This window comes from Homo sapiens, chromosome 19 (genome assembly GCF_000001405.40).
Source record: "Homo sapiens chromosome 19, GRCh38.p14 Primary Assembly".
Taxonomy (NCBI): Eukaryota; Metazoa; Chordata; class Mammalia; order Primates; family Hominidae; genus Homo; species Homo sapiens.
Genome location: NC_000019.10, coordinates 3,773,867 through 3,801,827, shown reverse-complemented (window position 1 = coordinate 3,801,827; position 27,961 = coordinate 3,773,867). Strand labels below are relative to the sequence as shown.

The 27,961-nt window shown below is 55.1% G+C and overlaps 1 protein-coding gene across 6 annotated transcripts, besides 6 other annotated features; it reads left to right on the top strand.

Moving 5' to 3' along the window:
- The first annotated feature begins 28 nt into the window (after window positions 1-28).
- Window positions 29-23,855, top strand: MATK (megakaryocyte-associated tyrosine kinase). 6 transcript variants are annotated; one of them, NM_002378.4, is made up of 14 exons: window positions 29-296; window positions 12,424-12,555; window positions 16,944-17,003; window positions 17,377-17,490; window positions 17,589-17,704; window positions 17,795-18,014; window positions 18,609-18,702; window positions 20,156-20,221; window positions 22,031-22,130; window positions 22,211-22,295; window positions 22,377-22,450; window positions 22,641-22,836; window positions 23,233-23,319; window positions 23,406-23,855. In NM_002378.4, exons 2-14 carry the CDS (start codon window positions 12,481-12,483, stop codon window positions 23,643-23,645), a joined length of 1,527 nt encoding a protein of 508 aa, NP_002369.2. In that variant the 5' UTR covers window positions 29-296; window positions 12,424-12,480; the 3' UTR covers window positions 23,646-23,855. The 6 variants fall into 6 exon arrangements, with proteins under 6 accessions (NP_002369.2, NP_001427507.1, NP_647612.1 ...); NM_001440578.1 differs by lacking the exons at window positions 29-296; window positions 12,424-12,555 and adding exons at window positions 15,447-15,659; window positions 16,542-16,764 and having other exon boundaries at window positions 22,211-22,286; NM_139355.3 differs by lacking the exons at window positions 29-296; window positions 12,424-12,555 and adding exons at window positions 15,447-15,659; window positions 16,542-16,764.
- Window positions 12,501-12,701: a silencer, noted in NCBI's record as "peak3255 fragment used in MPRA reporter construct". NCBI's record gives its function as "represses an SCP1 promoter by STARR-seq MPRAs in K562 erythroleukemia cells {active_cell/tissue: K562}" and the evidence as "EXISTENCE:reporter gene assay evidence [ECO:0000049][PMID:32103011]".
- Window positions 14,290-14,488: a silencer, noted in NCBI's record as "fragment chr19:3787338-3787536 (GRCh37/hg19 assembly coordinates)". NCBI's record gives its function as "represses an EF-1alpha promoter that drives an FKBP-Casp9 reporter gene in an ReSE screen in K562 erythroleukemia cells {active_cell/tissue: K562}" and the evidence as "EXISTENCE:reporter gene assay evidence [ECO:0000049][PMID:32094911]".
- Window positions 16,019-17,014: an enhancer, noted in NCBI's record as "H3K27ac-H3K4me1 hESC enhancer chr19:3784812-3785807 (GRCh37/hg19 assembly coordinates)". NCBI's record gives its function as "activates a minimal SCP1, AML or CMV promoter by ChIP-STARR-seq in naive and primed H9 embryonic stem cells {active_cell/tissue: H9 hESC(naive and primed)}" and the evidence as "EXISTENCE:reporter gene assay evidence [ECO:0000049][PMID:30033119]".
- Window positions 16,363-16,657: a silencer, noted in NCBI's record as "tiled region #208; HepG2 Repressive non-DNase unmatched - State 20:ReprD". NCBI's record gives its function as "represses a minimal TATA promoter and a strong SV40 promoter by Sharpr-MPRA in HepG2 cells {active_cell/tissue: HepG2}" and the evidence as "EXISTENCE:reporter gene assay evidence [ECO:0000049][PMID:27701403]".
- Window positions 16,363-16,657: an enhancer, noted in NCBI's record as "tiled region #208; K562 Activating non-DNase unmatched - State 4:PromP". NCBI's record gives its function as "activates a minimal TATA promoter and a strong SV40 promoter by Sharpr-MPRA in K562 cells {active_cell/tissue: K562}" and the evidence as "EXISTENCE:reporter gene assay evidence [ECO:0000049][PMID:27701403]".
- Window positions 19,851-20,051: a silencer, noted in NCBI's record as "peak3254 fragment used in MPRA reporter construct". NCBI's record gives its function as "represses an SCP1 promoter by STARR-seq MPRAs in K562 erythroleukemia cells {active_cell/tissue: K562}" and the evidence as "EXISTENCE:reporter gene assay evidence [ECO:0000049][PMID:32103011]".

The window sequence follows — 27,961 nt, the reverse complement described above, 5'->3', positions numbered from 1 at the left end:
TTTAGGCGGCGCGACAGCAAAATCAAGCAGTTGGTTAGCGAAGGGATTCGGTGCAGATGGATGGACCGTCTGGGCTGCGGAGTCCACGGGCCTGAAACGCGGTCGCTCCTGACCCGTCCTCCGCAACCCTCGTCCCACCAGGCCGCGGTTCCCGGAGCAGGCCGGCGGGTGGCAGGAAGACACCAGGCTGCAGGGGGCTGGAGAAGCAACACCCCTCTCCCTCCCCGCCAGAGAACTGGAGCGCGGGGACCTCGGTTGCGGATGCTAGCTGCGAGCCGGGTTGCTAGGCGACATCGGTGAGTGTAGGCGGGATGTACCGGGCGTGTGGGCAGGGCTGGAACCCAATCCGGCAGGCGGGACTGGAAAGACAAAAACGGAAGGGCAGGCTGTCACCTGCATCTGCAAGGTCACGGACAGGAGCGAGAGGCGGCCGCTAAGATGCCCTGAGTCCCCCGGCCCAGTCACAGTCAGCCTTGCAGGCAGCATCTCCCTGGCCAGGCTCGGGGGTCGTTTGGGAAAAGATTGTTGCCCGTCTTGTCCCGGGATGCCTCCCTAGTTTAGCTTCTGGGACTGAGAAGGTGTCTCAGGTGATCGGATTAAGACCCGCTTTCCTGGTTAAGGTGGAGAAGCCACCTCTGGGTAGAAAACGGTCACTCCCAAATTTTGCAAACGAAATGCATTAGGAAGCATCGGCCGGGCGCGGTGGCTCACGCCTGTCATCCCAACACTTTGAGAGGCCGAGGCGGGCGGATTACTTGAGGTCAGGAGTTCGAAACCCCGTCTGTACTAAAAATACAAAAATCAGCCGGGCGTGGTGGTGGGCACCTGTAATCCCAGCTACTCAGGAGGCTGAGGCAGGAGAATCGCTTGAACCTGGAGACCAAGGTTGTAGTGAGCCGAGATTGCGCCACTGCACTCCAGCGTGGATGACAGAGCGACACTCTGTCTCAAAAATACATAAATAAATAAAAATAAAAAATGATTAAGATGGCAAATTTTGTTACATGTGTTTTTCCACATAAATGTTTTTACTCATGAATTGGGTTTTTCCCATTATGAAAAACTTGGACAATCCAGAAAAATGGAAGAAGGAAAACAAAACAATCACAAAACAACCACAAAATTATCAGCTACTGTGAACACTCCATTTCCCTTCTGCTTTCTTTTCCTTTTTTTTTCTGAAGACGGAGTTTTGCTCCCGTTGCCCAGGCTGGAGTGCAGTGGCGCAATCTCGGCTCACCACAACCTCCGCCTCCTGGGTTCAGGCGATTCTCCTGCCTCAGCCTCCTGAGTAGCTGGGATTACAGGCACCTGCCACCACGCCCAGCTAATTTTTGCATTTTTAGTAGAGATGGGGTTTCACCACGTTGGTCAGGCTGGTCTCAAACTCCTGACCTCAGATGATTCGCCCTCCTCGGCCTCCCAAAGTGCTTGGCCTCCCAAAGTGCTGGGACTACAGGGCTGAGCCACCACGCCCGGCCATCCTGCTCTCTATTCTTTAATGCCCTGTTGTTTATGGGTGGGTCATTTTTACCATCTTGCTTCCTGCTTTTCTTCACTTGGTATTATAACGACATTGATTCATCACCTATTTACTGTGTGCTTATTATCTAATTTAATTCTTCTCATGACCCTACAAGACACATTTTATTTTTCTTTTTTCCTTTTTTTCTTTTTTTTTTTTTTGAGACGGAGTCTCGCTCTGTTGCCCAGGCTGGAGCGCAGTGGCACAATCTCGGCTCACTGCAGGCTCCGCCTCCCGGGTTCACGCCATTCTCCTGCCTCAGCCTCCCGAGTAGCTGGGACTACAGGCGCCTGCAACCACACCCAGCTAATTTTTTGTATTTTTAGTAGAGACGGGGTTTCACCGTGTCAGCCAGGATGGTCTCGATCTCTTGACCTCGTGATCCTCCCGCCTCAGCCTCCCAAAGTGCTGGGATTACAGGCGTGAGCCACCGCGCCCGGCTGACACATCTTATTTTTCTTTGAGACAAGGTCTCGCTCTGTCACCCAGGCTCAAGTGCAATGGTGTGATCTCAGCTCACTGCAACCTCTGCCTCCTGGGTTCAAGTGATTCTCCTGCCTCAGCCTCCCAAGTAGCTGGGACCACAGGCGCCCACCACCACACCCAGCTAATTTTTTTGTATTTTAGCAGAGATGGGGTTTCACTGCGTTGCCCAGACTGGTCTCGAACTCCTGACCCCAGGTGATCCACCTGCCTCAGCCTCCCAAAGTGCTGGGATTACAGGCGTGAGCCACCACACCCGGCCTCAACTCCTGTTCTTTCAGTTGCTCATTAATTCCGTCTGTGTGTTGAACACCTGTGATGTGTGCTGGGCCTTCATTCATGTGGTTTCCCTATTTCTCCCATTGAGGATGTTGACATTTATTCCATAGACAATCAGCAAACACTCACTGCCTTCCTTGGGACACCCAAGGATGAGCCAGAAGCCGTCACTTCACGCAGTGAGGGTGACTCTGGGCTCTAGTCACAGCGTGGCCCTTTAACTTATCAGCTATGGAGTGTGGGGACAGCTCATGTTACCGCCTTAAGCTTCCATAAAATTGGGGTCAAACTGGTAGTCCCCAACTGTGCAGAGAGCTGTGAGGAGAATTCAGTAAGAAAATGCATTTTAAAATGCTTGCTGCACAGAAAGGTTCAGGCACAGGGACCCAGGCGCCATGGAGGGCAGGGATGAGGGGCTGTGCAAATGGGCTATTAAGGCCAAGTGCAGTGGCTCATGCTTGTAATCCCAGCACTTTGGGAGACTAAGGCGGGAGGATCACTTGAGCCCAGGAGTTTGAGACCAGCCTGGGCAACATACCAAGACCCCATCTCTGAAAAAAAAAAAAAAATAGCCAGGTATGATGATGCATGCCTATAGTCCCAGCTACTTGAGAGGCTGAGGCAGGAGGATCACTTGAGCCCTGGAGGTTGAGGCTGCAGTGACCTATGATCACGCCACTGCACTCCATCCTGTACGACAGAGTGAGACCCTGCCTTAAAAAAAAAACAGGCCGGGCACGGTGGCTCACGCCTGTAATCCCAGCACTTTGGGAGGCTGAGGCAGGTGCATCACCTGAGGTCAGGAGTTCAGGACCAGCCTGACCAACATGGTGAAATCCCGTCTCTACCAAAAAAAAAAAAAATTAGCCAGGCTTGGTGGCACATGCCTGTAATCCCAGCCTTGGGAGGCTGAGGCAGGAGAATCACTTGAACCTGGGAAGCAGAGATTGCAGTGAACTGACACTGTGCCATTGCACTCCAGCCTGGGCAATAAGAGCAAAACTCTGTCTCAAAAAAATAAAAAAAATAAAAAATCCAGGCCATTAAAGTCACAACCCCAGATGTCTAACCTCTTGTGGCTTCTAGAACGCTGGATGCCAGGCTATGAGAAAAGCCTTCCAGATGCTGCCAATGTTTCGGGATTCCTGCCCAGTGACCCCCACCCCCACCCGCCAACCACCCCACAGTGAGGCCGCCCTGTGGTGAGGAGGCTTCCGTCAGCTCTGTAGCACTCCATCATAATTGTTAGTCAACAGAGAGACCAAAACCCACAAAGAGAAAAGAAAAGTAACCTGAAGGAGAGACAAAGAGGGCAGAAGAAAACAGTTCTAGAAAAATCCTTATGTTCCTGATTCAAACACAGAACAGAAAAAAACAAAACCTGTATGCATCTTATCCTCGGAGAGCTCATAGAGGATATAACAGCCAGGAAACAAGTATAAGTTTGCCTTTATTTATTTACTTATTTATTTATTATTTATTTTTATTTTTTATTTTTTGAGATGGAGTCTCCCTCTGTCACCCAGGCTGGAGTACAGTGATGTGTTCTTGGCTCACTGCAAACTTCACCTCCCAGGTTCAAGCGATTCTCCTCCTTTAGCCTCCCAAGTAGCTGGGATTATAGGCATGAGCCACCATGCCCGGCTAATTTTTGTATATTTAGTAGAGATGGGGTTTCACCATGTTGGCCAGCCTGGTCTCGAACTCCTGACCTCTGGTGACCCATCAGCCTCAGACTCCTAAAGTGCTGGGATTACAGGTGTGAGCCACTGCACTGGGCCAAGAAATTCTTTTATTTATTTACATATTATTTGGAGATTGGGGTCTCACTATGTTGCCCAGGCTGGTCTCAAACTCCTGAGCTCCGTGAGCCACCACACACAGCCAAGTTTGTCCTTTAAAGAGGAACGGTAAAAGAACCAGAAAGAGCTCTTGGAAATTAAAACTCTGACAGTCACTGGGTGTGGTGGTGCATGCCTGTAATCCCAACACTCCAGGAGGCTGAGGCAGGCAGATTGTTTGAGCTCAGGAGTTTGAAACCAGCCTGGGAAACATAGTGAGACTAAAAATCAAAAAAATTAGCCAGCATGGTGGCAGGCACCTGTAGTCCCAGCTACTTGGGAGGCTGAGGCAGGAGGATCACTTGAGCCCAGGAGGTCGAGGCTGCAGTGGGCTGTGATTGCACCACTGCACTCCAGCCTGAGCAACAGAGTGAGACCCTGTCTCAAAAAAAAAAAAAAATTAATAGTCAAAATTAAAATGTCAATAGAAGGGTTGGAAGAAAAAGTAGAAAGTGGGGGGGTGGGGGGGAAGGTAGGCAAGAAAATGAAAACATCAATCCAAGAAGTCCACCCTATGACAATAACGTGTTCCACAAACACGCCAGAGAAACCAAAGTGGAAGAAATCACCAATGATATCATTCAAGAAAGTTTGCCAGGAAGAGAACACAGGAAAGAGCCCACCAAGTACTCAGCACAATGGTTGAAAACAGACCCACACCAAACCCACCACTGTGAAAGTGCAGGATGTAGGGAACAAGAAGATTCTACAAGCTTCCAGAAAGAGAGAGAGAGAGACAGAAATTAACCATGGGACAGGCAAAGTATGAGGAAACAGGACAACTTCTGATCATTCAGCTGCCCAAGACTAGAAGCTGGAAAACATTGGGCAAAAGAAAAGTATCCACCTACAATACTGTCAGCCAAACCTCTAATTACCCAGGAGAGTAGGAGGAAAACACTTTCTCTGGAAACCCTAGGGGGAGCACATTCCTAAAACAAGGGACCAAACCAAGAAACAGGGAGACCCACACCCAAGAAACAGGAGCTATATCTAAGAATCCCCTTGTGCCGAAGAAGAGAGGGGCCAGGATCACAGCTGGGCAGTAGGAGAAAGTCCTGAGTGGAGATGTCAGTTCTGGTGGAGAGGCTGGGGGAAAGAGTCACAGACACATAAAACCAAGGCGATGACTAACTCCAGGGAAATAAAAAAGCAGGTCCCAGAAAATAATGTTCTTAGTATACATTGCTCCACTGTCAATAATATTTATATTAATATATATACTATAAGCACTGAATTTTCATTTAAGCAAAAATTGTGATTTAACTGTTGGGGGAGCAGAATGCCTAAGAGAGCTAAATCTTGACCTTCTGGAATAGGAAGTCAATGGACAACATCCAACTGATAAATCAAGGGATGTGTAAAACACATTACTTGGAACTATGGAGGTAAATACCTGAAAACAGCAACAGCAACCCCTGAGGAGTGGGACATTATATTGCTTTGTCTTCAGCACACAGTAAAACACCCTATAAATATCAGCTGCTATTCATACCAACAAGAATATACTTACCCTTGAGAGGCTCATTGCTGAGTTGAGGAGCTTTATTTATATATTTTGAGTTTTATTTTTTTAAACACTTCTTGAGAGCTTATTACATGCCATGAGTATCAGCACATTTAATTTAACAGATTGAAAAATACAGCTGGTGGCTCACACGTGTAATCCCAGCACTTTGGGAGGCCGAGGCAAGCAGATCACTTGAGGTCAGGAGTTCGAGACCAGCCTGGCCAACATGGTGAAACCTCATCTCTACTAAAAATACAAAAATTAGCCAGGCGTGATGGCGCGTGCCTGTAATCCTAGCTATTCAAGAGGCTGAGGCAGGAGAATAGCTTGAACCTGGGAGGCGGAGGATGCAGTGAGCCAAGATCACGCCTCTGCACTCCAGCCTGGACGAAACAGTGAGATTCCATCTCAAAAAAAAAAAAAAAAAAAAAAAAAAAAGCACCTACTTATGAGAAAATAAAGACTGTGAGAAGGCAGCGGAGAGCAAACTACAGTCTGAGGGCCAAGTCCAACCTGCCATCTGTATCCGCACAACTCCTCCAGCTAAAATCGTTTTTTTACATTTGTAAATAGTTGGAGGAAAATGGAATCAATATTATATGACATATGAAAAGTCATATGAGGCCGGGCATGGTGGCTCATATCTGTAATCCCAGCACTTTGGGAGGCCAAAGTGGGCAGATCATCTAAGGTCAGGAGTTCAAGACCAGCCTGGCCAACATGAAACCCATCTCTACTAAAATACAAAAATTAGCCGGGTGTGGTGGCACATGCCTGTAATCCCAGCTACTTGGGAGGTTGAGACATGAGAATTGCTTGAACCCAGGAGGCAGAAGTTGCAGTGAGCCGAGATCACGTTAATGCATTCCAGCCTGGGTAACAGAGTGAGACTCTGTCTCAAAAAAAAAAAAAAGGCCAGGCTTGGTGGCTCACGCCCATAATCCTAGCACTTTGGGAGGCCGAGGTGGGCGGATCACGAGGTCAGGAGATCGAGACCATCCTGGCTAACACGATGAAATCCCTTCTCTACTAAAAATGCAAAAAATTAGGCGGGTGTGGTGGCGGGCGCCTGTAGTCCCAGCTACATGGGAGACTGAGGCAGGACAATGGTGTGAACCTGGGAGGTGGAGCGTGCAGTGAGCCAAGATCACGCCACTGCACTCCAGCCTGGGCAACAGAGCGAGACTCCAGCTCAAAAAAAAAAAAAAAAAAAAGCAAAAGAAAAGAAAAGTAATATGAAAGTCAAATGTCCATGTCCATAAATAAAGTTTTATTGGAATGCAGCCACGGTCTTTGGCTTCTGTGTTATCTATGGTGTCCCTGAAATGGCAGAGCTGAGTAGTTGGGACAGAGACCAGCATGCCCTTTAGAGAGACAGTTTGCTGGGCCCTGAGTTAGAGCATGAGGTCATGAGAGGATGAAGAGGGATCCTGGAGGAGAGACTTAGGGGCTGCTCTTGAGTAGACATGACTGGTTTATTCCGGAATAATGTGTATCTCCTGTTCTCCTTACTTGATCTTTTCTTTTCTTTTTTTGAGACAGGGTCTTGCTCTGTTGCCCAGGCTGGAGTGCAGTAGCATAATCATAGCTGACTGCAGCCTCAACCTCCTGGGCTCAAGTGATCCTCCTGCCTCAGCTTCCTGAGTGGCTGGGACTACAGGCATACACCACCACACCCAGCTAGTTTATTTTATTTTTTGTAGAGACAGGGTCTCACTATGTTGGCCAGACTGGTCTCCAATGGCAGGGCTCAAGCAATCCTCCCACCTCAGCCTCCCAAAGTGCTGGGATTGCAAGCGTGAGCCTTCATGCCTGGCCTCCTTCCTCAGACTTTACCCTCTCATCTGCTTCTGTAAGGGCCTTTTATGTGCCAGGCTCCAGACCTAAATGGTTGCCGGGCCCAGGGCTGGTCGTTACCCTCATTAGGAAGATATATTCTGTCGTGGGAAGCAAGGATGGAGGGAGATTGACAATGACGAGTGAGACAGGATAACAGGTGGGGATTCCGGCTTTGACAATAGAGAGTAACTAAGGGTGACCACTGTGGGGTGGCCAGGGAGGGTCTCTTGGAGAAGCTGAAAGTGCAGAGAAGTAGCTGGCCTTGAGAAGAGCTGGGGGAAGGATGTAGTACTAGGAGATAGGAAGAGCATGTGCAAAGGTCCTGTGGCTGCCCCATGCCTGAGCTTTTGGGAGACAAGGGAGAAGCTGGGAGCAGAGAGGTGACAGCCACTGGACCGCAGAGGTGACAAAGCACCGGGAGGCACACTGAGCTTAGTGGGAACCATGGGAAGCTTTTATTTTATTTATTTTTTATTTATTTATTTTGACAGTCTCACTCTATCACCCAGGCTGGAATGCAGTGGCCTGATCTCAGCTCATTGCAACCTCCACCTCCCAGGTTTAAGTGATTCTCCTGCCTCAGCTTCCCGAGTAGCTGGGATTATAGGCACATGCCACCACGCCCAGCTAATTTTTTTTTTTTTTCTTGAGATGGAGTCTCCACTCTGTCGCCCAGGCTGGAGTGCAGTGGCGTGATCTCCGCTCAGTGCAAGCTCTGCCTCCCGGGTTCACGCCATTCTCCTGCCTCAGCCTCCCGAGTAGCTGGGACTACAGGCACCCGCCACCACACCTGGCTAATTTTTATATTTTTAGTAGAGACGGGGTTTCACCATGTTAGCCAGAATGATCTCGATCTCCTGACCTCGTGATCCACCCTCCTCAGCCTCCCAAAGTGCTGGGATTATAGGCATGAGCCACCGCACCTGGCCTAATTTTTGTATTTTTTTAGTAGAGACGGGATTTCACCATGTTGGTCAGACTGGTCTCGAACTCCTGACCTCAGATGATCCACCAGCCTCGGCCTCCCAAAGAGCTGGGATTACAGGCGTGAGCCACCACGCCCAGCCGGGAAGCTTTTAAGGCCGGATGTGACACAGACCCAGTTTCCACGGATGAAACCTGCAAGTGTGGCTGGAAAACAACCTGTCCGGCTGCGTCTTAAGGACGAGGAAGACGGGGCAAGGGTTTTCCAGCAAAGACGCCCAAAGCAGCTCGCCCCAAGAGGCCCTTCGTTCAAGGAATCGAGAATGGCCGGGCAGACAGCGACTGGTTGCAGAATGAGTGATGCAGCGTTCTTCCTCGAAAGAGCCAGCGTTCCTCCCCTCAATCCCGGAGTCCCCTGGCTGGGGGGAGGAAGCTAAATTTAAAGGTTTGCTAACTGGGGCAGTGTGATCTAACTGCAGATTCCAGCCGAGGACGGCTAGGCCGGGGACGGCTTCCATGGAGGCCATGGCGGCTCAGGTGTCCCCATGTCTGGCTGCAGTGGCCTCCCCACCCCGGCCTGTCCTCCAGGTTCAGAAAGTTCAATTGTGAGGCTGGAAACGGTGGCTCACGCCTGTAATCCCAGCACTTTGGGAGGCCGAGGTGGGTGGATCACCTGAGGTCAGGAGTTCAAGACCAGCCTGGCCAACATGGTGAAACCCCATCTCTACTAAAAATACAAAAATTAGCCGGGCATGGTGGCTGGCAGGTACCTGTAATACCACCTACTCGGGAGGCTGAGGCAGGAGAATCGCTTGAACCCAGGAGGCAGAGGTTGCAGTGAGCTGAGATCGCACCACTGCACTCCAGCCTGGGTGACAGAGCGAGACTCCATCTCAAAAAAAAAAAAAAAAAAAAAGAGTTGGAAATTCATGTGCTGAAAAAGGCTGAACAAGAGGCAGGAGCCCAGTCCCTAACACTGCCCAGCATTGCCTGCCTCAGTCACGATGCCTTTCTATCAATTTCAAGCCTCTAGCGTTTGAAGTTCTCCATCCCAGCCAGCCAATCCCAACCCTGACTGATAAATTTTGTAAAGTATCTGTCATATGACTCATCACCTACTATGTTTATTGCCTACTATGATTTCCAACAGTATTTGTAGAGAAGAATAAGAATCGTGCCCTGCCTTAGAGAAGTTTGCAATCCAATCAGGGGAGTCTACAGGCCTGAGGTTTAGCCCCCAGCCAGCTGTGTGATCAAGGATGAGTAGTCTTGCCTCTCTGGGTCTCAGCTGTTCCACTTTACACTTTTTTTTTTTTTTTTAAGATGGAGTCTCACTCTGTTGCCAGACTGGTCTATAGTGGTGCGATCTTGGCTCACTGCAACCTCAGCCTCCTGGATTCAAGCGATTCTCCTACCTCAGCCTCCTGAGTACTTGGGATTATAGGCACCCGCCGCCACGCCCAGCTAATTTTTGTATTTTTAGTAGAGACGGGGTTTTGCCATGTTGGCCAGGCTGGTCTTGAACTCCTGACCTCAGGTGAACCACCCACCTCGGCCTCCCAAAGTGCTGGGATTACAGGTGTGAGCCACCGTGCCTGGCCTCAGCTGTTCTACTTCTCAAATGAGAAGACTGGTCTCAGTGATCTCTAGGAATTTGGAGAGTAGTGGGTTAGGCAGATTATGACAGCCAGAGGGGGGTCTATGGGAGGAGAGTGATATGTGAAGAACTGTGAGATTTGGATAGGAAAGAAATAGAAAAACACTCAAGAAGGGGAGGAGGTGGAGGCTGGGTGCGGTGGCTCACGCCTGTAATCCCAATACTTTGGGATGCCGAGGCGGGCAGATCGCCTGAGGTCAGGAGTTCGAGACCAGCCTGGCCAACATGGTGAAACCCCGTCTCTACTAAAAATACAAAAATTAGCCAGGCATGGTGGTGGGCACCTGTAATCCCAGCTACTTGGGAGGCTGAGGCAGGAGAATCACTTAAACCCGGGAGGCAGAGTTTGCAGTGAGCCGAAATCGTGCCACTGGACTCGTCTTGGAACAGAGCAATACTCTGTTTCAAAAAAAAAAAAGTGGGGGGAGGTGGAGAGATGACTGTGTCCACTGGGCTGCTGCATTGCAAAGGACAGAAGCCTGGTGCCGCCTGACTCAGGGAATGGAAGGCAGGTTTATGGACTCTCGGAAAGAGAAGCTCGAGGCATCCCTCTTCCCAGCTGGGATCAGGGAATCTAATTTGACTCAGCAATTCCACATTAGTCTGTTAATTTTAACTCCCCACTTCTGGTACTATTTTGAGTATTAAGAATCCCTTTGATTGTAAGCAGCAGAACCCCCTCGGGAAGAAATCAAAAAAGAAAGACTGGCTGCTAAAACTAGGTGTCACGTGAATTCCAGGCATCGCTGGTTCTAAGGATACGGAACCAGTCTTTCCCTTGGGATTCAGTGTCTCTCCCTGCTTCTTGGCTCTGTTTCCTCCAGGCTGGCCTCCTTCTCAGGCAGGCTAATGGGCTCAGTCACCAAGACCAAGGAGAGACGGCCAGGCTCACACCTATCACACAGTGAGACAAGAGAGCTAGTGCCTCTAGCAAGGGGCCCTTTCAGGGAGACCTTGCTCTAGGAAGTATGGGGATGTCCTTGAGGAAGGCTTTCCCCAAATGGTGCCACATGAGTTGTGTGTGGGAGAGTGAGCTTGGAGAGGCCAGCTGGACACGGCGGGGAAGGGCATTCCAGGGGAGAGGGAACAGCCAGTGCAAAGGCGTGGAAACTTCTGCAGTTCGGACTCACTAGAATATTAGGTTCTTGGAGGGAGGAGGAGAAAATGGGACCTGGGAGATCAGCTGGAGGCCAAACATGAAGAGCCCTGGATGCCAGGCTGAGCATTTTAGGCTCTCTCCTGCAGGCAGTGGGGAGCTATGGAAGGATTTAGAGTGAGGGAGGACACAGTCACGTTTCTTTCCCTTGGCTTTGCAGTGAAAGGTGAAAACCTGGAGGCAGCCAGGACGCCAGAAAGGGGACTGCTCTGTCACCAGCCTGCACCAGGAGGGTGACCTGCAGATCAGAGAACTTCTGAAATCAAGTTGACAGGGGGTCACCAAGGATGAGAGGTGGAGGGTGGGGAGTTCAGGACTGGGGGAATCTGGGTGTCCAGTCTACCCACTCAGGCTGGTATAAGGAAGGGGTGAGTCCCCCAGCTCCTTGGCAGGAAGCATTAGAAACTGGTGCGGCCACCTCTGGGGCCTGAAAGAGCCCTAGAGTCTTTGTGATTCAAAGTGGCTAATTCTTGGTCAGGAGGTCAGGAGTTCCAGGCCAGCCTGGCCAACATGGCGAAACCCTGTCTCTACTAAAAATACAAAAATTAGCTGGGCATGGTGGCGGGCACCTGTAATCCCAGCTACTCAGGAGGCTGAGGAAGGCGAATCACTTGAACCCGGGAGATGGAGGTTGCAGTGAGCTGAGATCGCGCCACTGCACTCCAGCCTGCGTGACAGGAGTGAGACCCTATCTCAAAAAAATACAAATACAAATACAAAAGTTAGCAGGGCGTGGTGGCACGCACCTGTAATCCCAGCTACTCAGGAGGCTGAGGAAGGAGAATCGCTTGAACCTGGGAGATGGAGGTTGCAGTGAGCCGAGATCAGGCCACTGCACTCTAGCCCGGGTAACAGAGCAAGACTCCATCTCAAAAAAAAAAAAAAAAAAAAAGCAAAGTTGCCAATTCTTGGATGCCTCACCCCCTCCTGAGGCTACCCCTTCTGTGGCTCTGATTCAAATAAACCGCAGGCTCAAATCTATCCCCCTAGAGTCAGGCACAGCTCAGTGTCTATGTCTCCACCCAGTCAGGGGAGCTCCCTGCCCCAGCCAGCCCTTGACAATTTGCGAACCCAACACCAGCTCCTTAAGTCCGCCCTTCTCTGGGCTCAAGACCTTGGTTCCCCTTATTATTTCTTCTGGGGTGAGGCCTCCTGCCCGGAGCCCTGGGGCTCCTCGGGAGGACTGACACTAATATCATTGATTTGCAGAGAGAGGAAGAGGAGAAAGTCTTCATGGGGTGCTAGAGCATCTTAAATGTCCCTCTCATGCAGGGACATTTCCCTGCTGAACGAAGAGAAGGCAGACCTCGGCGAGGGACCCGTGGTCAGCAGCAGCTTCTGGTGAGAATCAAATTAGGCGGCTGGGTTTTCCGCTGCAGATATTTTGACTTAACACTTCTAGTTCAGGCAAGTGATGGTGGTTTGCCATATATGGTGGGCCCGCAGTGACTGTGACAGAAGGACAGCTGCAGCGTCCCCAGCCCTTTCTGGGGAGCCACACCCCAGACTATCCCACAGCCAGATCCACGAAGCTGTGGGTGCTAAAATTGTAGACACGGGCATCCTCCCAGAAGATCTTCTAATAGTAAATTACAACCCCATGAAAGAAAGTTGAGGCCGGTAAACCATGCGCCGTGGCTCACGCCTATAATCCCAGCACTTTGGGAGGCCAACATTGGTAGATCACCTGAGGTCAGGAGTTTGAAACCAGCTGACCAATATGGTGAAACCCTGTTTCTACTAAAAGTACAAAAATTAGCTGGGTGTGGTGGCATGTGCCTGTAATCCCAGCTACTCAGGAGGCTGAAACAGGAGAATTGCTTGAATCCAGGAGGCAGAGGTTGCAGTGAGCTGAGATAGTGCAGTGGCTCATATCTGGAATCCCAGCACTTTGGGAGGCCAAGGTTGGAGGATCGTTTGAGTGCAGAAATTTGAGACCAGCCTGGGCAACATAGCCAGATCCCATCTCTATTTTTTTTTTTTTTTTTTTTTTTGGAGACAGAGTCTCACTCTGTTGCCCAGGCTGGGGTGCAGTGGCGCGATCTTGGCTCTCTGCAACCTCCGCCTCCCAGGTTCAAGCAATTCTCTACCTTGGCCTCCCGAGTAGCTGGGATTACAGGCATCCACCACCACACCAGACTAATTTTTGTATTTTTAGTAGACAGGGTTTCACCATCTTGGCCAGGCTGGTCTCGAACTCCTGACCTCGTGATCCACCCGCCTCGGCCTCCCAAAGTGCTGGGATTACAGGCATGTGCCACCACGCCCAGCTAATTTTTGTAGTTTTAGTAGAGACGGGGTATCACCACGTTGGCTAGGCTGGTCTAGAACTCCTGACCTCAGGTGATCTGCCCGCCTTGGCCTCCCAAAGTGCTGGGATTACAGGCGTGAGCCACTGGGCCCAGCCTACAGATGGGATTAAGTTGATGCTATTGAGATGAGAGAGCATCCTGGATGCCCCAGGTATATAATATAATATAATATAATATAATATAATATAATATAATATAATATAAATATTAATAATATAATATATATAATAGTATGGTTTAACCAGGCACCATGGTGTGCACGTGTAGTCCCAGCTACTCAGGAGGCTGAGGCAGGAGGTTCGCTTGAGCCCAGGCATTTGAGGCCAGCCTGGGCAACACAGAGAGACCCCCAGCTCTAATAATGATAATAATAATAATATAGTTTCCTAGTCTGCTGCATAATGTTCCTTAATATAGCTGTTCTGTAATTCTCTTGTAACTGGGCCTCTGCTCCCCGCAAAATCATGTGATGCCCCCAAGTCCAGACACACAGCCTTTTGGGGTAACAGAAGATTAAATATGGGCGCAGGCCACCTGGGCATCTCGGTTCATTGCCCTCCTAAGATGAACTTCATCTTTGTTTCAGAGGACTCATCCCTTAGAAAGGATGATAAGGTGCAAGGCGTGGTGGCTCACGCCTGTAATCCCAGCACTTTGGGAGGCCGAAATGGGAGGATCGCTTGATCCCAGGAGTCCAAGACCAGCCTGGGCAACAAAGTGAGACTTCATCTCAAAAAAATAAAAATAAAAATACAAAAGTTAGCAGGGCGTGGTGGCACGCACCTGTAATCCCAGCTACTCAGGAGGGTGAGGAAGGAGAATTGCTTGAACCCGGGAGGTGGAGGTTGCAGTGAGCCAAGATAGCGCCACTGCACTCCAGCCCGGGTAACAGAGCAAGACTCCATCTCAAAAAAAAAAAAAGGCAAAGTGGCCAATTCTTGGATTCCTCCCAGGACAGGGAACTCACCCCCTCCTGAGGCTACCCCTTCTATGGCTCTATGAAAATTTGGGAAAAAAAAAATTACCCTGTGGTCCCAGCTACACGGGAGGCTGAGGCGGGAGGCTGGCTTGAGCCCAGGTGGTCAAGGCTGTAGTGAGCTATGATCACGCCACTGCACTCCAGCCCAGGGGATAGAGTGAGACCCTGTCTCAAAAAATAAATGAATAAAAATAAAGATAAAGGCCTGCATTGGGTGAAAGCAGATTGGGCGTTTTGGTCACCCCAACCACAAAGCCATCGCTGGGGGCCAGGGCCCTGTCCACCAAGACCAAGTGAGATCAAACTGTTCTGTGAGGTGAAAGCGGGTGGGGCCCCCACCCTCCATATGGGGGAGGAAATCCCGGCTGGAAAAGGGGTACCTCCTACCTACGGGCAGAGCCAGGTCCCTCCAACTCCCAGGCCCCCCTTTTACCCTCCAAGGAGGGCAGCTCTAAGAAGTTTGCATCCGGATGATTACAGTTCCCGATGATTCTGTTACTCCAATTTTCCCTTAATGTTGATGATTATGATAATGATATTGATAGCGGCTGACATTTTGAAAGCTTTTTTTTTGTCAACCACCAATAGCCCTCTGAGACGGTGGGTGCTCAAATGGGCGACACTGAGGGAGTTGGAATTGCAGAGTACGAAGTGTCCTCTGGGAGTCCGGGCTTGGCGCCTTGCTTATCTCCCCGGACGGGCAGCTCACTCTCCCTCACCCCCGGTCCCCGCCGCGCGCACTGGCGGCGCCCGTTCCACGCTCCAAGAACCCCGCTTCCCAGGGTGGGTGGGGGGTGCACGCCCGACAGGGCCAGGTCAGGGCCAGGCGTGGAGCCCGCGTGCGCCCCGGGACCCCGCCCGGGGCGCGCGGGAGGCGCCGGGGGCCGCGGAGGCGGGGCGGGGAGGGGCCGGCGGCGGCGGCGGCGCGCGGAGGAGACCGCAGTGCGGCCGGCGCTAGGACCCGCGGGGGCCTCCCAGGCCGCGGCGCCTCCCGCTTTCCCCCACTCCCCGACCCTTCTTCGCCCCCAAAATGAGGAAACGGAGCAACTCGCTCCAAGTTGTGCAGCCGGGACCGCCTCGGGGTGTGCAGCCGGCTCGCGGAGGCCCTCCTGGGGGCGGGCGCGGGGCGCGGCTCGGGGGCGCCCCCTGAGCAGGTGAGCACGTCGGCGGGGAGACGTGGAGAGACCCCGAGGCCGGGGTGGGGGGAAACCCCGAGGGCTCTAGGCGGGGGTGGGCCCGGGACGTGCGCAGGAAGGGCCGGTGTGTGCGCGAGTGTGCGCGTCCCGGGCGCGCAGCGGGTGCGCGGCTGGGGCGGAGGGTGCTCAGAGGCGATCGGACCCCGCGTGGTGGTGGCTGGGGTTTCCTGGGTGCGGGTGTGCGCGGCTACGAGCCCCGGGCGTGTGTACCCGCGCGTCCACGTGGAGGGCTGTGCGCGTGTGGCCGAAAAGCGTGTGCGCGGCCCTGCGTAGCGCCCTGCGTGCCCGAGTGGCCCGGCGCTGGCGCCCAGGTGTTCCAGTGTGGGGCGGCTGTGTGTGTGCCGGGGGCGGGGGACAGGTGCGCACGTTCCCAGGTGTGGAGCGCTTGTGCGCGCGGATGCGCGGGGACGTGTGCGCACACCTGTTTCCACGTGGACGTGGTCCTTTGCTTGTCTGCGCGCAGCTGTGTCCGAGCCCTGTGTGTTTCTGTGCGTGTGCATGCATCCGTATGCGTGTGAGTACACGTGGGACTGGAGGATTTCATGGGAGGCGCATCTTGGAGGGGCCGAGACTCACCCCCCAGCACCGCCCACTTCCCAGCCACTAGCGGTCGGGGAGATGGGGGAGGCAGGGAGGCTCCCCCACCCCTGCAGCAATGAGTGACTTTGTGTGTCTGTCCTGGGTTTGGGGGGGGATCAGAGAGGCTCAGCGGGTGGCCGGAGGAGCCCAGCAGGGCTACAGGACCCGCCCCTGCCCCCAGCTCCACCCCACGGTCAGAGATTCTTGGGAATGACCTTGACTCATCCCTATTTCCCCACCCTGCCCCTGCCTACCAACCAGAAAACAGGAAGAACCAGGCTCGGTCCAGTGGCACCCAGCTCCCTACCTCCTGTGCCAGCCGACTGGCCTGTGGCAGGCCATTCCCAGCGTCCCCGACTGTGACCACTTGCTCAGTGTGCCTCTCACCTGCCTCAGTTTCCCTCTGGGGGCGATGGCGGGGCGAGGCTCTCTGGTTTCCTGGCGGGCATTTCACGGCTGTGATTCTGCTGAGGAACTTCCCCGGGTAAAGATCACTTCCCCACAGGGGCTTGGGGAGCCAGTTCTGGGTCCCATCCAGGATGCCTCTGGGGAGGCTCTCTCTGCCTGCCCAGCCATCGCCCCCACCTGACCTGGGCTGGAAGTGGTAGGAACTGGACCGTGGGTCCCAGCCCAGCTCCCACCTGGACTCTGTCCCCTCCCCAGGTGAGCCCCCGCTTCCTCCGAGCCTGGCACCCCCCTCCCGTCTCAGCCAGGATGCCAACGGTGAGTGTGTCTAGCCTGCTTCCTCTGCTCCCCGGGTCCTTCTTCAACTCCGTCCACACCCTGAGACCCCTTCCTGAAGGGCTGTACTCTCTGCCCCCTACCCCCTTCTGCTGGCCTCGGCCTGGCCTTTCTCAGTCATCTTGGCTTCCTGACCTTCTGTCCCAGGCCGCCTCTCTTTGTGACTCTACGATTTCTCTCTGAGCACCCCACTCCCCCTTTCTTTCCCCCGATGTCTGCGTCTGTTTTCTCTGCCTCTCCGCTCTTTTCCAATCTCTATACCTTTCTCCCTCCTGTCCTCTTTCCCCTCCCGTGCCTCTGCTCCCCACATCTCCGTGATGTCCTCCCTTTGCCCCTCTCCCGGCCCCCTCTGCAGAGGCGCTGGGCCCCGGGCACCCAGTGTATCACCAAATGCGAGCACACCCGCCCCAAGCCAGGGGAGCTGGCCTTCCGCAAGGGCGACGTGGTCACCATCCTGGAGGCCTGCGAGGTGAGAGGTGGCCGGCGGGTGTGGGTGCTTGGGGCTGGGGGCTCCACCAGGACCACCCCCACACCCCCCACACTAACCCCGTGCTTCCTCCCTGGCAGAACAAGAGCTGGTACCGCGTCAAGCACCACACCAGTGGACAGGAGGGGCTGCTGGCAGCTGGGGCGCTGCGGGAGCGGGAGGCCCTCTCCGCAGACCCCAAGCTCAGCCTCATGCCGTGAGTGGGCAGGACAGGGGCCTGGGGTAGGGGACAGCAAGTGACCCCCCCTCCACAGCCCAGTCTGACCCACCCCTTCCGTGGCCGCAGGTGGTTCCACGGGAAGATCTCGGGCCAGGAGGCTGTCCAGCAGCTGCAGCCTCCCGAGGATGGGCTGTTCCTGGTGCGGGAGTCCGCGCGCCACCCCGGCGACTACGTCCTGTGCGTGAGCTTTGGCCGCGACGTCATCCACTACCGCGTGCTGCACCGCGACGGCCACCTCACAATCGATGAGGCCGTGTTCTTCTGCAACCTCATGGACATGGTGGAGGTGCTGCCACCCAGAGGCCCCACCCCGTCCCTGCAGTGGGGCAGCCCAGGGACTCCGGAGACTCCCCTACGTAGAGATAGAGGGGCGGGTCACCTGACCTCCATCCCTTCCCCAGCAGCTGGGCAGACACCATCCCTACCTCCTGTGCTGATCACCCGGGACCCCCTGAGCTCTGTGCTTCCCCAATGTGGAGATGAAGGGGGTATTCCCCAGGGCCCCCCAGGCACCCCCAGGCCCCCATCCCATCTCAGATGGGCAGACAGGAGGACCCCCACAGTAGGATTCCCCTTAATGCAGAAATAGGGGGGCTGATCCCTATGGACTGCCCAATCTACAGGTGGCCTGAGTCAGCCTGGTTCTACCTCCAGGGACTAGAGTGACTCCTCTGGGGACCCCCCAGGACCCCCCAAGTTGATACCAATCCAGAGGACTCCCCCTCCTTTTGGCTTGCCTCCTTTCCCGTTCCTATGGAAACCAGCCTTTCTCCTCCTCCCCGGTCCCACCCACCCCACCCAGAGGCCACCCGGGAACGGAACAGGATGCTGGGGTTCCCCTCCCTGGGGCTGGGCTCATGGCTGTCCCACCATCCTGCAGCATTACAGCAAGGACAAGGGCGCTATCTGCACCAAGCTGGTGAGACCAAAGCGGAAACACGGGACCAAGTCGGCCGAGGAGGAGCTGGCCAGGGGTAGGGGACGCCCAGGAGGGCAGACCCCCTTCCCTACCCACGTTAGCCCAGTCCGGGAGGAAGGGCCCTGGGGCCCCGCACCTCTGAGGCCAGATCACCCAAGCCTGTCTCCATGCCCAGCTATGGGATAGAAGACCTGGGCTGCCTCGGGGGTGCCCACAGACACAGATCAGTCCTTTATTCAATAGGTCCCCAGCTTCGCCACTCATCTGTCACCATCATCCACCATCTGAGCCAGAAACCTGGCCCCGAACCTCCACCCACCCCATCCTCCAGCATTCCCTCCTTGGCCAGGTTCCCAAGACCTGGTGAATCTTCTCCCCTCCCCTCCCCACAGCCCAGCCTCAGGCCCTCCCATCAGACCGCCTCCTTCCCAGAGGGCGAGTCCCCCTTCCAGCCCAGGCCTTGAGTGCAGCCTCAAGGTTATCTTTCTATCATGAAACCATGCCTCCAGGGAGAGAGGCCCAGCAGCTCCACCACCTTCCAGAACCTGCCTGCATGGCCTGAGCCACCTTTCCAGCCTCATCTGCAAAGCCCTTCCTCCACACATCCACCCCCTCCCAGGTCAACTGTGATCATCGTTTTCTTCATGCCTCTGAGCCATTGTATATTCTGTTCCCTTCACCTGAAATGCTTTTCCAGCCCCTAAGTAGTGAAATCCTCAATATTTAAGGTCAAAAGCAAATGCCTCCTCTGACCCCATGTCTGTCTCCTTGAAAGTATCTCTCTGCTGGGGAAGTCTGTACCCATCAGGGATGGCATCCAGGTGGAGACTAGCATCACCCTGGCCAATGATCTCTTAAGACCGTGGCATTTGGAGGGGGCACTTTCTGGAGGGAGAAGAGAACGTCTGCAGAACCGACCAGAGGGCAGTGGAGGGGACAACACAGGAGTGCTTGGGAGAAGGGTCAGGGAGGCTAGAGCCCTGGAATATTCTGGAACCTTTATGGGTCTCCATGTTGTGTTTTTTTGCTCTGTGTGTGTTTCTGGGGTGGTCAGAGGTAAAGAACTGTGTAGGGAAGAGCCCAGAGGGTATTTGGAGGGACAAGAGAGCCAAAGAGAAAAGGGCAGCTCTTATCTCTGAGAACTGAAGTGTTTCCTGGCACTACCCCTTGGGCCTGACTGGGAGTTCCTGGAGGGCAAGTGTGGGGTCTGAGGGTCTCAGCCAGGCAGGCCCCCAGCTTTGACTATTCACACCACTATCCCTCCTGTAAGCCCCTTTTTGTTCAGGTCAACCTGAGATAGTTCTGTTGCTTGCAACAACAATAATTGGTACCAGGAGTGGGGTGTCTCTGATATGTCCTAGGGGCATTGCCAGGCCCAGCAGCCACTCAAATGTGTATCCACAGCTGCAGCACTGTGAGAGACATCACCTAGTCTCTCACCAAGTAGAACCCCCAATGGGAGGATTTAGGGGGCCCATTACCCCTCTGACTGGGTCTTCACTCCACAGCGGGCTGGTTACTGAACCTGCAGCATTTGACATTGGGAGCACAGATCGGAGAGGGAGAGTTTGGAGGTGAGTGGCGGACTGGGTTGGGGGTGCTGAAGGAAGATGGGAGGTGCGTATTGAGGCTTTGGAGTCACAGAGCTGAATTCAAACCCATACTTAACCACCTACTAGTTGTGCAGCTGAAGACGTGCAAATCCTCTGAGCCTCAGTTTCCCCCTCTGGAACAGGGGGTAATGGCAGCTGTCATGAGGAGTAAGTGAACTCAAGCAGGCGCTCAGTCAACGTTAGTGACTTCTTCACACTGCCAGGGTCTTGTATGGTCAGTCCCACTGTTTGGAATGTTTGAAACACCATTCCCTGAAATTATTATTCTGGAAGGCTCTGGGGTTTAGATCAGGGGTCGGCAGACTCTCTGTAAAAGGCCAGATTGTAAATATTTCCTGCTTTGTGGGCCAGGTAGCTGCTGTCACCACTACTGAATCCTGCCCTTGTGGAGTGAAAGCGACCACAGACAATATGTAAACATATGGGCGTGGCCATGAAAACTATGACCCAGAAATTTGAATTTTGTGTAATGCTCACATGTCCTGAAACAGCACTCATCTTTTGATTTGTTTTTACAACCATTTAAACATGCAAAAACCAGCCAGGCACGGTGGCTCATGCCTGGAATCCCAGCACTTTGGTAGGTCGGGGCAGGAGGATCCCTTGAGCTCAGGAGTTCAGGTGCAGCCTGGACAACGTAGCGAGACCCCCATCTGTACAAAAAAAAAGCCAGGCACAGTGGAGCATGCCTGTAGTCCCAGCTACTCAGGAGGCCGGGATGGGAGGATCCCTTGAACCCAGGAATTTGAACCTGCAGTGAGCTGTGATCACGCCACTGCACTCTACCTGGGTGAGAGAGTGAGACCCTGTATCAATATTTTAAAAATAAAAATGTTGGCCGGGCACAGTGGCTCATGCCTGTAATCCCAGCACTTTGGGAGGCTGAGGCGGGCGGATCACGAGGTCATGAGATCGAGACCATCCTGGCTAACATGGTGAAACCCCATCTCTACTAAAAAAAAAAAAAAAAAAAATTAGCCGGGCGTGGTGGTGGGCGCCTGTAGTCCCAGCTACTTGGGAGGCTGAGGCAGGAGAATGGCGTGACCTGGGAGGCAGAGCTTGCAGTGAGCAGAGATGGCGCCACTGCACTCCAGCCTGGGCGACAGAGCAAGACTCCGTCTCAAATAAATAATTAATTAATTAAAAATAAAAATGCAAAAAACATTTTGAGCTGAAGGGTCTTGCAAAAAGAGGTGATAGGTAGATTTGGCCCCGAGGGGGTGGGGGTTCACAGACCCCTGGCTTAGATGGTTCTCTCTTTGTTTTTGTTTTTTGTGGGGTTTTTTTTGAGATGGAGTTTCGCTCTGTCACCCAGGCTGGAGTGCAATGGCACAATCTTGGCTCACTGCAACCTCTGCCTCCCGGGTTCAAGTGATTCTCCTGCCTCAGCCTCCCGAGTAGCTGGGATTACAGGCATGTGCCACCACACCTGGCTAGTTTTGTATTTTCATTAGAGACAGGGTTTCTCCATGTTAGTCGGGCTGGTCTTGAACTCCTGACCTCAGGTGATCCGCCTGCCTCAGCCTCCCAAAGTGCTGGGATTACAGGCGTGAGCCACCGCGCCAGAGCCAGATGGTTCTCTGATCTTGGGTCTGGAGCTTGCAAGGGCGGCAGGGGTGAGGAGCATGGGGTCTGTGTTTCAAGGTCTGGGGACCCGCAGCTGTGTGAATGTTACATGGGCACCGGTGTGAGCGGGCCTGTCCGTCTGTCTCTCTGTCCCTGTTTGTTGGGGGTCCTGATCTCACCCCGTTCCCCACCCCCACCCCCCAGCTGTCCTGCAGGGTGAGTACCTGGGGCAAAAGGTGGCCGTGAAGAATATCAAGTGTGATGTGACAGCCCAGGCCTTCCTGGACGAGACGGCCGTCATGACGTGAGTCCCAGGGTGGGGCTGGGGACCGTGGGACGGGGGGGGTCCCAGCCCTGCCCTCACGCCCACCCCACCGCCCCCAGGAAGATGCAACACGAGAACCTGGTGCGTCTCCTGGGCGTGATCCTGCACCAGGGGCTGTACATTGTCATGGAGCACGTGAGCAAGGTGGGGCGGGGCCCAGGCGGGGAGGGGGCCCACGCAGCGGAGCAGCCCCAACATCCCGCGGCCATCTCCCACCCCCAACAGGGCAACCTGGTGAACTTTCTGCGGACCCGGGGTCGAGCCCTCGTGAACACCGCTCAGCTCCTGCAGTTTTCTCTGTAAGTGGGACTCTCAGGGTGCTGCGGCACTGGGGTCGTCGGGGCGCAGATTCCAAGATCCATCAAGGGGAAACTGAGGCACGGGGCAGGGAGGCTTTGTGAGCTTGTGGCCCCAGGCACCCCGAGCTTTCTGAGCCCTGAATGTGGGCATCCTGGCACCTGAGCCCCCACTGCCCCCTACTACCCCCAGGCACGTGGCCGAGGGCATGGAGTACCTGGAGAGCAAGAAGCTTGTGCACCGCGACCTGGCCGCCCGCAACATCCTGGTCTCAGAGGACCTGGTGGCCAAGGTCAGCGACTTTGGCCTGGCCAAAGCCGAGCGGAAGGGGCTAGACTCAAGCCGGCTGCCCGTCAAGTGGACGGCGCCCGAGGCTCTCAAACACGGGGTGAGCCCTGCCTTCACATACCCCTGGGGCTTTGGGGTCCCCCCAGCTCTGCTGTATGACCCTGGGTATGTCCCTTGGCCTCTCTGAAACTCCAAGGGCAATGGCTATGCCTCCCCAGGAAGCTCTTGGCCCATAATTGTTCCTCGTAGCCCCCCTCTGGGCCTCAGTTTCTCCAGCTCTGAAAAAGGCGTGGGCTCAGGACTGAAGGGAAGAATAACCAGGCTTCCTTCATGCACTAAGGCTGAGCTAGACTCAACTGCGGGCGGCGTTGGGGGAGGACTCAATTAGGAGAAGACCAGAGAGTGAGGGTCAACCCAGGAGGGCTTCCTGGAGGAAGCAGGGGCTGGAGCAGAAAACCTGAGGGGTCCCTCCTCACCCCCGTCTCGGGCCCCACAGAAGTTCACCAGCAAGTCGGATGTCTGGAGTTTTGGGGTGCTGCTCTGGGAGGTCTTCTCATATGGACGGGCTCCGTACCCTAAAATGGTGAGCGGGGGTCCCAGGGAGGCACTGGGTTCCGGGCAGGTCCAGAGGCTGTGGCCCTGACCCCTGCCCACGCCTGCTGTCCGCAGTCACTGAAAGAGGTGTCGGAGGCCGTGGAGAAGGGGTACCGCATGGAACCCCCCGAGGGCTGTCCAGGCCCCGTGCACGTCCTCATGAGCAGCTGCTGGGAGGCAGAGCCCGCCCGCCGGCCACCCTTCCGCAAACTGGCCGAGAAGCTGGCCCGGGAGCTACGCAGTGCAGGTGCCCCAGCCTCCGTCTCAGGGCAGGACGCCGACGGCTCCACCTCGCCCCGAAGCCAGGAGCCCTGACCCCACCCGGTGGGGCCCTTGGCCCCAGAGGACCGAGAGAGTGGAGAGTGCGGCGTGGGGGCACTGACCAGGCCCAAGGAGGGTCCAGGCGGGCAAGTCATCCTCCTGGTGCCCACAGCAGGGGCTGGCCCACGTAGGGGGCTCTGGGCGGCCCGTGGACACCCCAGACCTGCGAAGGATGATCGCCCGATAAAGACGGATTCTAAGGACTCTAGGCGCCTGTGTGTCTCTGTGTCCCCGTGCCCTCTTCCCCGGGGGCCACCTTTGGTGATCTGCTCTCGGACACCCCCAGGCGCCAGGCATCCTGGGTCCTCCCTTAGAGGTCCACCCCCCCTAGATGCCCTGTGTGCCCCAGCCCCAGTGGTCACCTTCCTACTCTGTGGAACCCACTGCAGCCCACATGATGGGATCAATTAATTGGGACCCCACTGATCCTTGGCCGAGTCTTGGGCACCCACCGGCCCCAAGCCCCTGCCTCCTGTGGCCACATGCCTGCACACGGGGGCCTCCCCATCTTGGCCCATGGAGGATCTGCCCAGCTGGCACCTGCCTGCTGGCCACTGTGGGGACACCGTTCCCTGGGGGATTCTGGGCAGGGGACCCACTTGCCATTACCCACGGGTTCCCCACTGCAGTCCCCCAGGGCATGTGGTATTCAGTGGTGGGCACCCTTTCCCAACCCATGGGGTCCCAGGCTTAAAGGATCTTGGGAGGCTGCCAACAGCCCTCAAGGTCCAAGTCTCCCCTCCCACCACAGCCCTTTCTCAGGCCCCAGCCATCCATATCCCTATGGGAGCCCCCATGATGGGAGCCCCAGGAGGGTCTGCATGTGTGGCAGCAGCCCCATTTAGGGATGGCCTGGGGAGGCCACCCTCCTCCTCCTGCCTCCCCCATTCATGGCCAGGCCCCATGTTGAGTGCTTTCAGGTCAGACCCCCAAAATGCCACTGGAGGTGAGTGCCAGGATTACACCCATTTCACAGACGTGGACGCTGAAGCCCAGAGAGGGCAGGTTGCTCACACTGGGTTGCCCCAAGAAAATATGGTAGAGCCTGGATTTGAATCTGGGCCTGTCTGGGTCCACAGCCCAGGCTTCGTTCCCCTCTCTTCCTGCTCCTGCCTCTCCCACTTCTGCATGTCTCTCACTTCTGCTTCTTTCATGATGGCCTGAACCAATCATGAAAATCTCACCCATCATCCACCCATCCATCCACACCCACCCAATCACCATCCACCCATCCATCCATCCACCCACCCAATCACCATCCACCCATCTATCCACCCACCCAATCACCATCCACCCATCTATCCACCCACCCAATCACCATCCACCCATCCATTCACCCACCCAATCACCATCCACTCATCCATCCACCCATCCATCCATCCATCCACCCACCCACTATCCACTCATCCATCCACCCACTCACTATCCACTCATCCATCCATCTACCCACTATCCACTCATCCATCCACCCACCCACCTATCCATCCACCCACCATCCACTCATCCACCTACCCACCATCCACTCATCCATCCATCCACCCAATCATCCATCCATCCATCCATCCGTCCACCCATGCATCCATCCACCTGTCCACCCATCCATCCATCCACCTACCATCCACTCACACATCTGTCCACCCATTTATCTACCCATCATCCATCCACATACCCATCCATCCTTTCATCCATCCATCCATCCATCCTTCCATCCATCCACCCACCCACCCATCCCCCTGTCCCCACCCATCCATGCATGCATCCATCCACCAACCCATCCACTTATCTATCCATCTCCCCACCCATCCATCCCCCACCCATTCCCATGTCCATCCATGTACCCATCCATTCATTCACCCACCCATCCACTCTATTCATCCATCCCTCCATCCACTGTTCCATTGATCTACCCACCCATTCATCCATCCCTCCATCCACCTACCCACCCACCATCCATTCACACATCCATCCACCTCTCCTCTTAACAAAGCCAGGCTGAAGGAGGTGTCAGAGGCTGTGGAGAAGGGGTACCACATGGAGCCCCCAAGGGCTGTCCAGGCCCCATGCATGTCCTCATGAGCAGCTGCTGGGAGGTAGAGCCCGCCCGCTGGGCACCCTTCTGCAAGTTGGCTGAGAAGCTGGCCCGGGAGTTGTGCAGCATGGGCGTCCCGGCCTCTGTCTCAGGCTGACTGTGTGCTGGCCCTCTGGGCACTGAGTATCACCACAGCTTCTGCAGTGACAGCTCTCAGGTGACACTGTCCTTGGACAGAGGCAGTCCAAATGTCCAGGGACCTAGCAGGCTGACCCATTGACTCTGGGGGGCAGAATGGCAGGGAAACACTGGCCCTCCTGTCCTCTCTGGCACAGCGGGCCGGGGATCCACTTTGCACACACAGGTTCAATCCTGACTCGCCCCCCAGCTGTGTGACGCTGGCCCTGGGGTGACCACCCTGGTGTGACCACCCTGGTTTGCTCAGGGCTGAGGGCTGTTCCAGGGTGTCAGACTTCAGTGCTAAAACAGGGAAAGTCCTGGGCAAACAGGGGAGAGGTGGTCCCTACTGGGAAAGCTTTTACCCTCTCTGGGCCTCAGCAGCCTCCTCCAGCCAATGGACACCTTTTCCCAGAGGGGTGTGAGCAGTGAAGGGAGGGGCACCTAGAAGGCAGGCATACAGCTGGTGCTCCATTATTGCTGGGACGGTCCAACACCTGCTCTCAGCTGAGTCCCATGGAGCCAGCCTTTAGGATACACGGAGAGGGGTCTCTGGCCAGGCTGGGTATGGCCCCCACCCCAGGACTCCCAGCCCACCCTCCCATCCTGGCCAAGCAGAGCCTGAGCTGAGACACGGAAATGTCCCAAGGTCACGCCGACCTCCTGTGTGGCCCCCTTAAAGCCCTGCACACCCTCGGGCCTCACTCTCCCCACCAGCACCTGAGGCAGGTTAGTGGTTCTTTCTTGGGGAAAATTGAAAGGTGGAGGCTGGAAAGGCCCGGAGTGGCCTGGCCTCTGCCTAATCCACTGCAGGGGGCCACCTGTCCCCTTGGCCCTGCCCACCCAGCCCGCGCTCCTAATCCGGCCCTCTAAGCTGACACAGCGTCTGCAGCTTCTGCCTGTCCGGCTAAGTCGCCCAAAGCCCCCCCCGCCGCGCCTCACGCCACGATCCTTCCTGGGGCCTCTTAACCCACACTGGCCAATTAGCTAATTGCGGCCTGAGACCTGAAGCAGCTCGTTAGTGCTCTAAAGTGATGAAGCGATCAGGGGAGTTCTCTCTCCCCAGCCCACAGCCCTGTCCCTCGATGGGTGACAGGCCTGGCTCCACCTTGGACACAGAGCCTGGTGGGCCCACCTTGCCGACGGGCAGCTGAGGCCAGGGGAGGCACCTGGAGCCTCAGAAGCTGCAGCCACCCCTCTGGCCAGGGATTGAACCCCTGTTTGCCTCTGCACCTTGCCCACCTGAACTTGGCCCCTGGGATGGGGGAGCTACACCCAGATCCTGGGCCGAAGCCACCTGCCCCCTGGGATCCGACCGGGACTACTCTGGGGCCTGGGCACCTGGTTTCTCGTGTGTGTGTGTGTCACGCCTTTCTCTGTCTCTGTCTCTGTCTCTCTTTCTTTGTGTGTCTCTCCCTTCAAAGCCAACATGCCAACATTCTGGAAGGATCTCTAGTTCACTTTGCACTGGCCCCTTCGCCCATCCACAGGCCTGGGTCTCCCCCTCACTCCACCGCAGTCACCTCCCCCCTGTCCTCCATGTCACTAAATCAGGCCTCCCCTCCTCTCCCCTTCCCATTGTCCCTGGAGTACCCTCTCCTTTCCATCTCTAGGGCACTCCCCTGCCTGAGCCCCCTGGCTCCTTGGACTTGGGGGGCACTCGTCTCTGGGGCTTCCCCTGGAGCCCGCTCCACCTCTCAGGCCTCTGCCTCTGAAACAGTCCCACCTCACAGCCCAGAATGGGCCTGGGCAACGCCCTTGCACCTCCATACCCACACCCTGCCCCTCTCCAGCTTCCTTCCTCTGGAATTGCTACCCCCACCCTTCTGTCCTCCCCATCTCCCCCGGCCCTTGGCCTGACTAGACCCTGTAGCCTCACCTGCCTGGCACCTGCCCCTGGTTTCTCAGCTGCTCATCATTGATGTTTGTATAAAATGCCACTGTGTCCCTGCTCCACAACCTCCCATGGTTCCCCAGCACTCCATCCTTCACACCCCATGTGTCCAGAACTTGCGGCTTTGCACTCCATCTTCCATTCTCACCACCTTCCTTAACATAGCAACCCGACTGGTCGCGGTGGCTCACGCCTGGAACTCCTGCACTA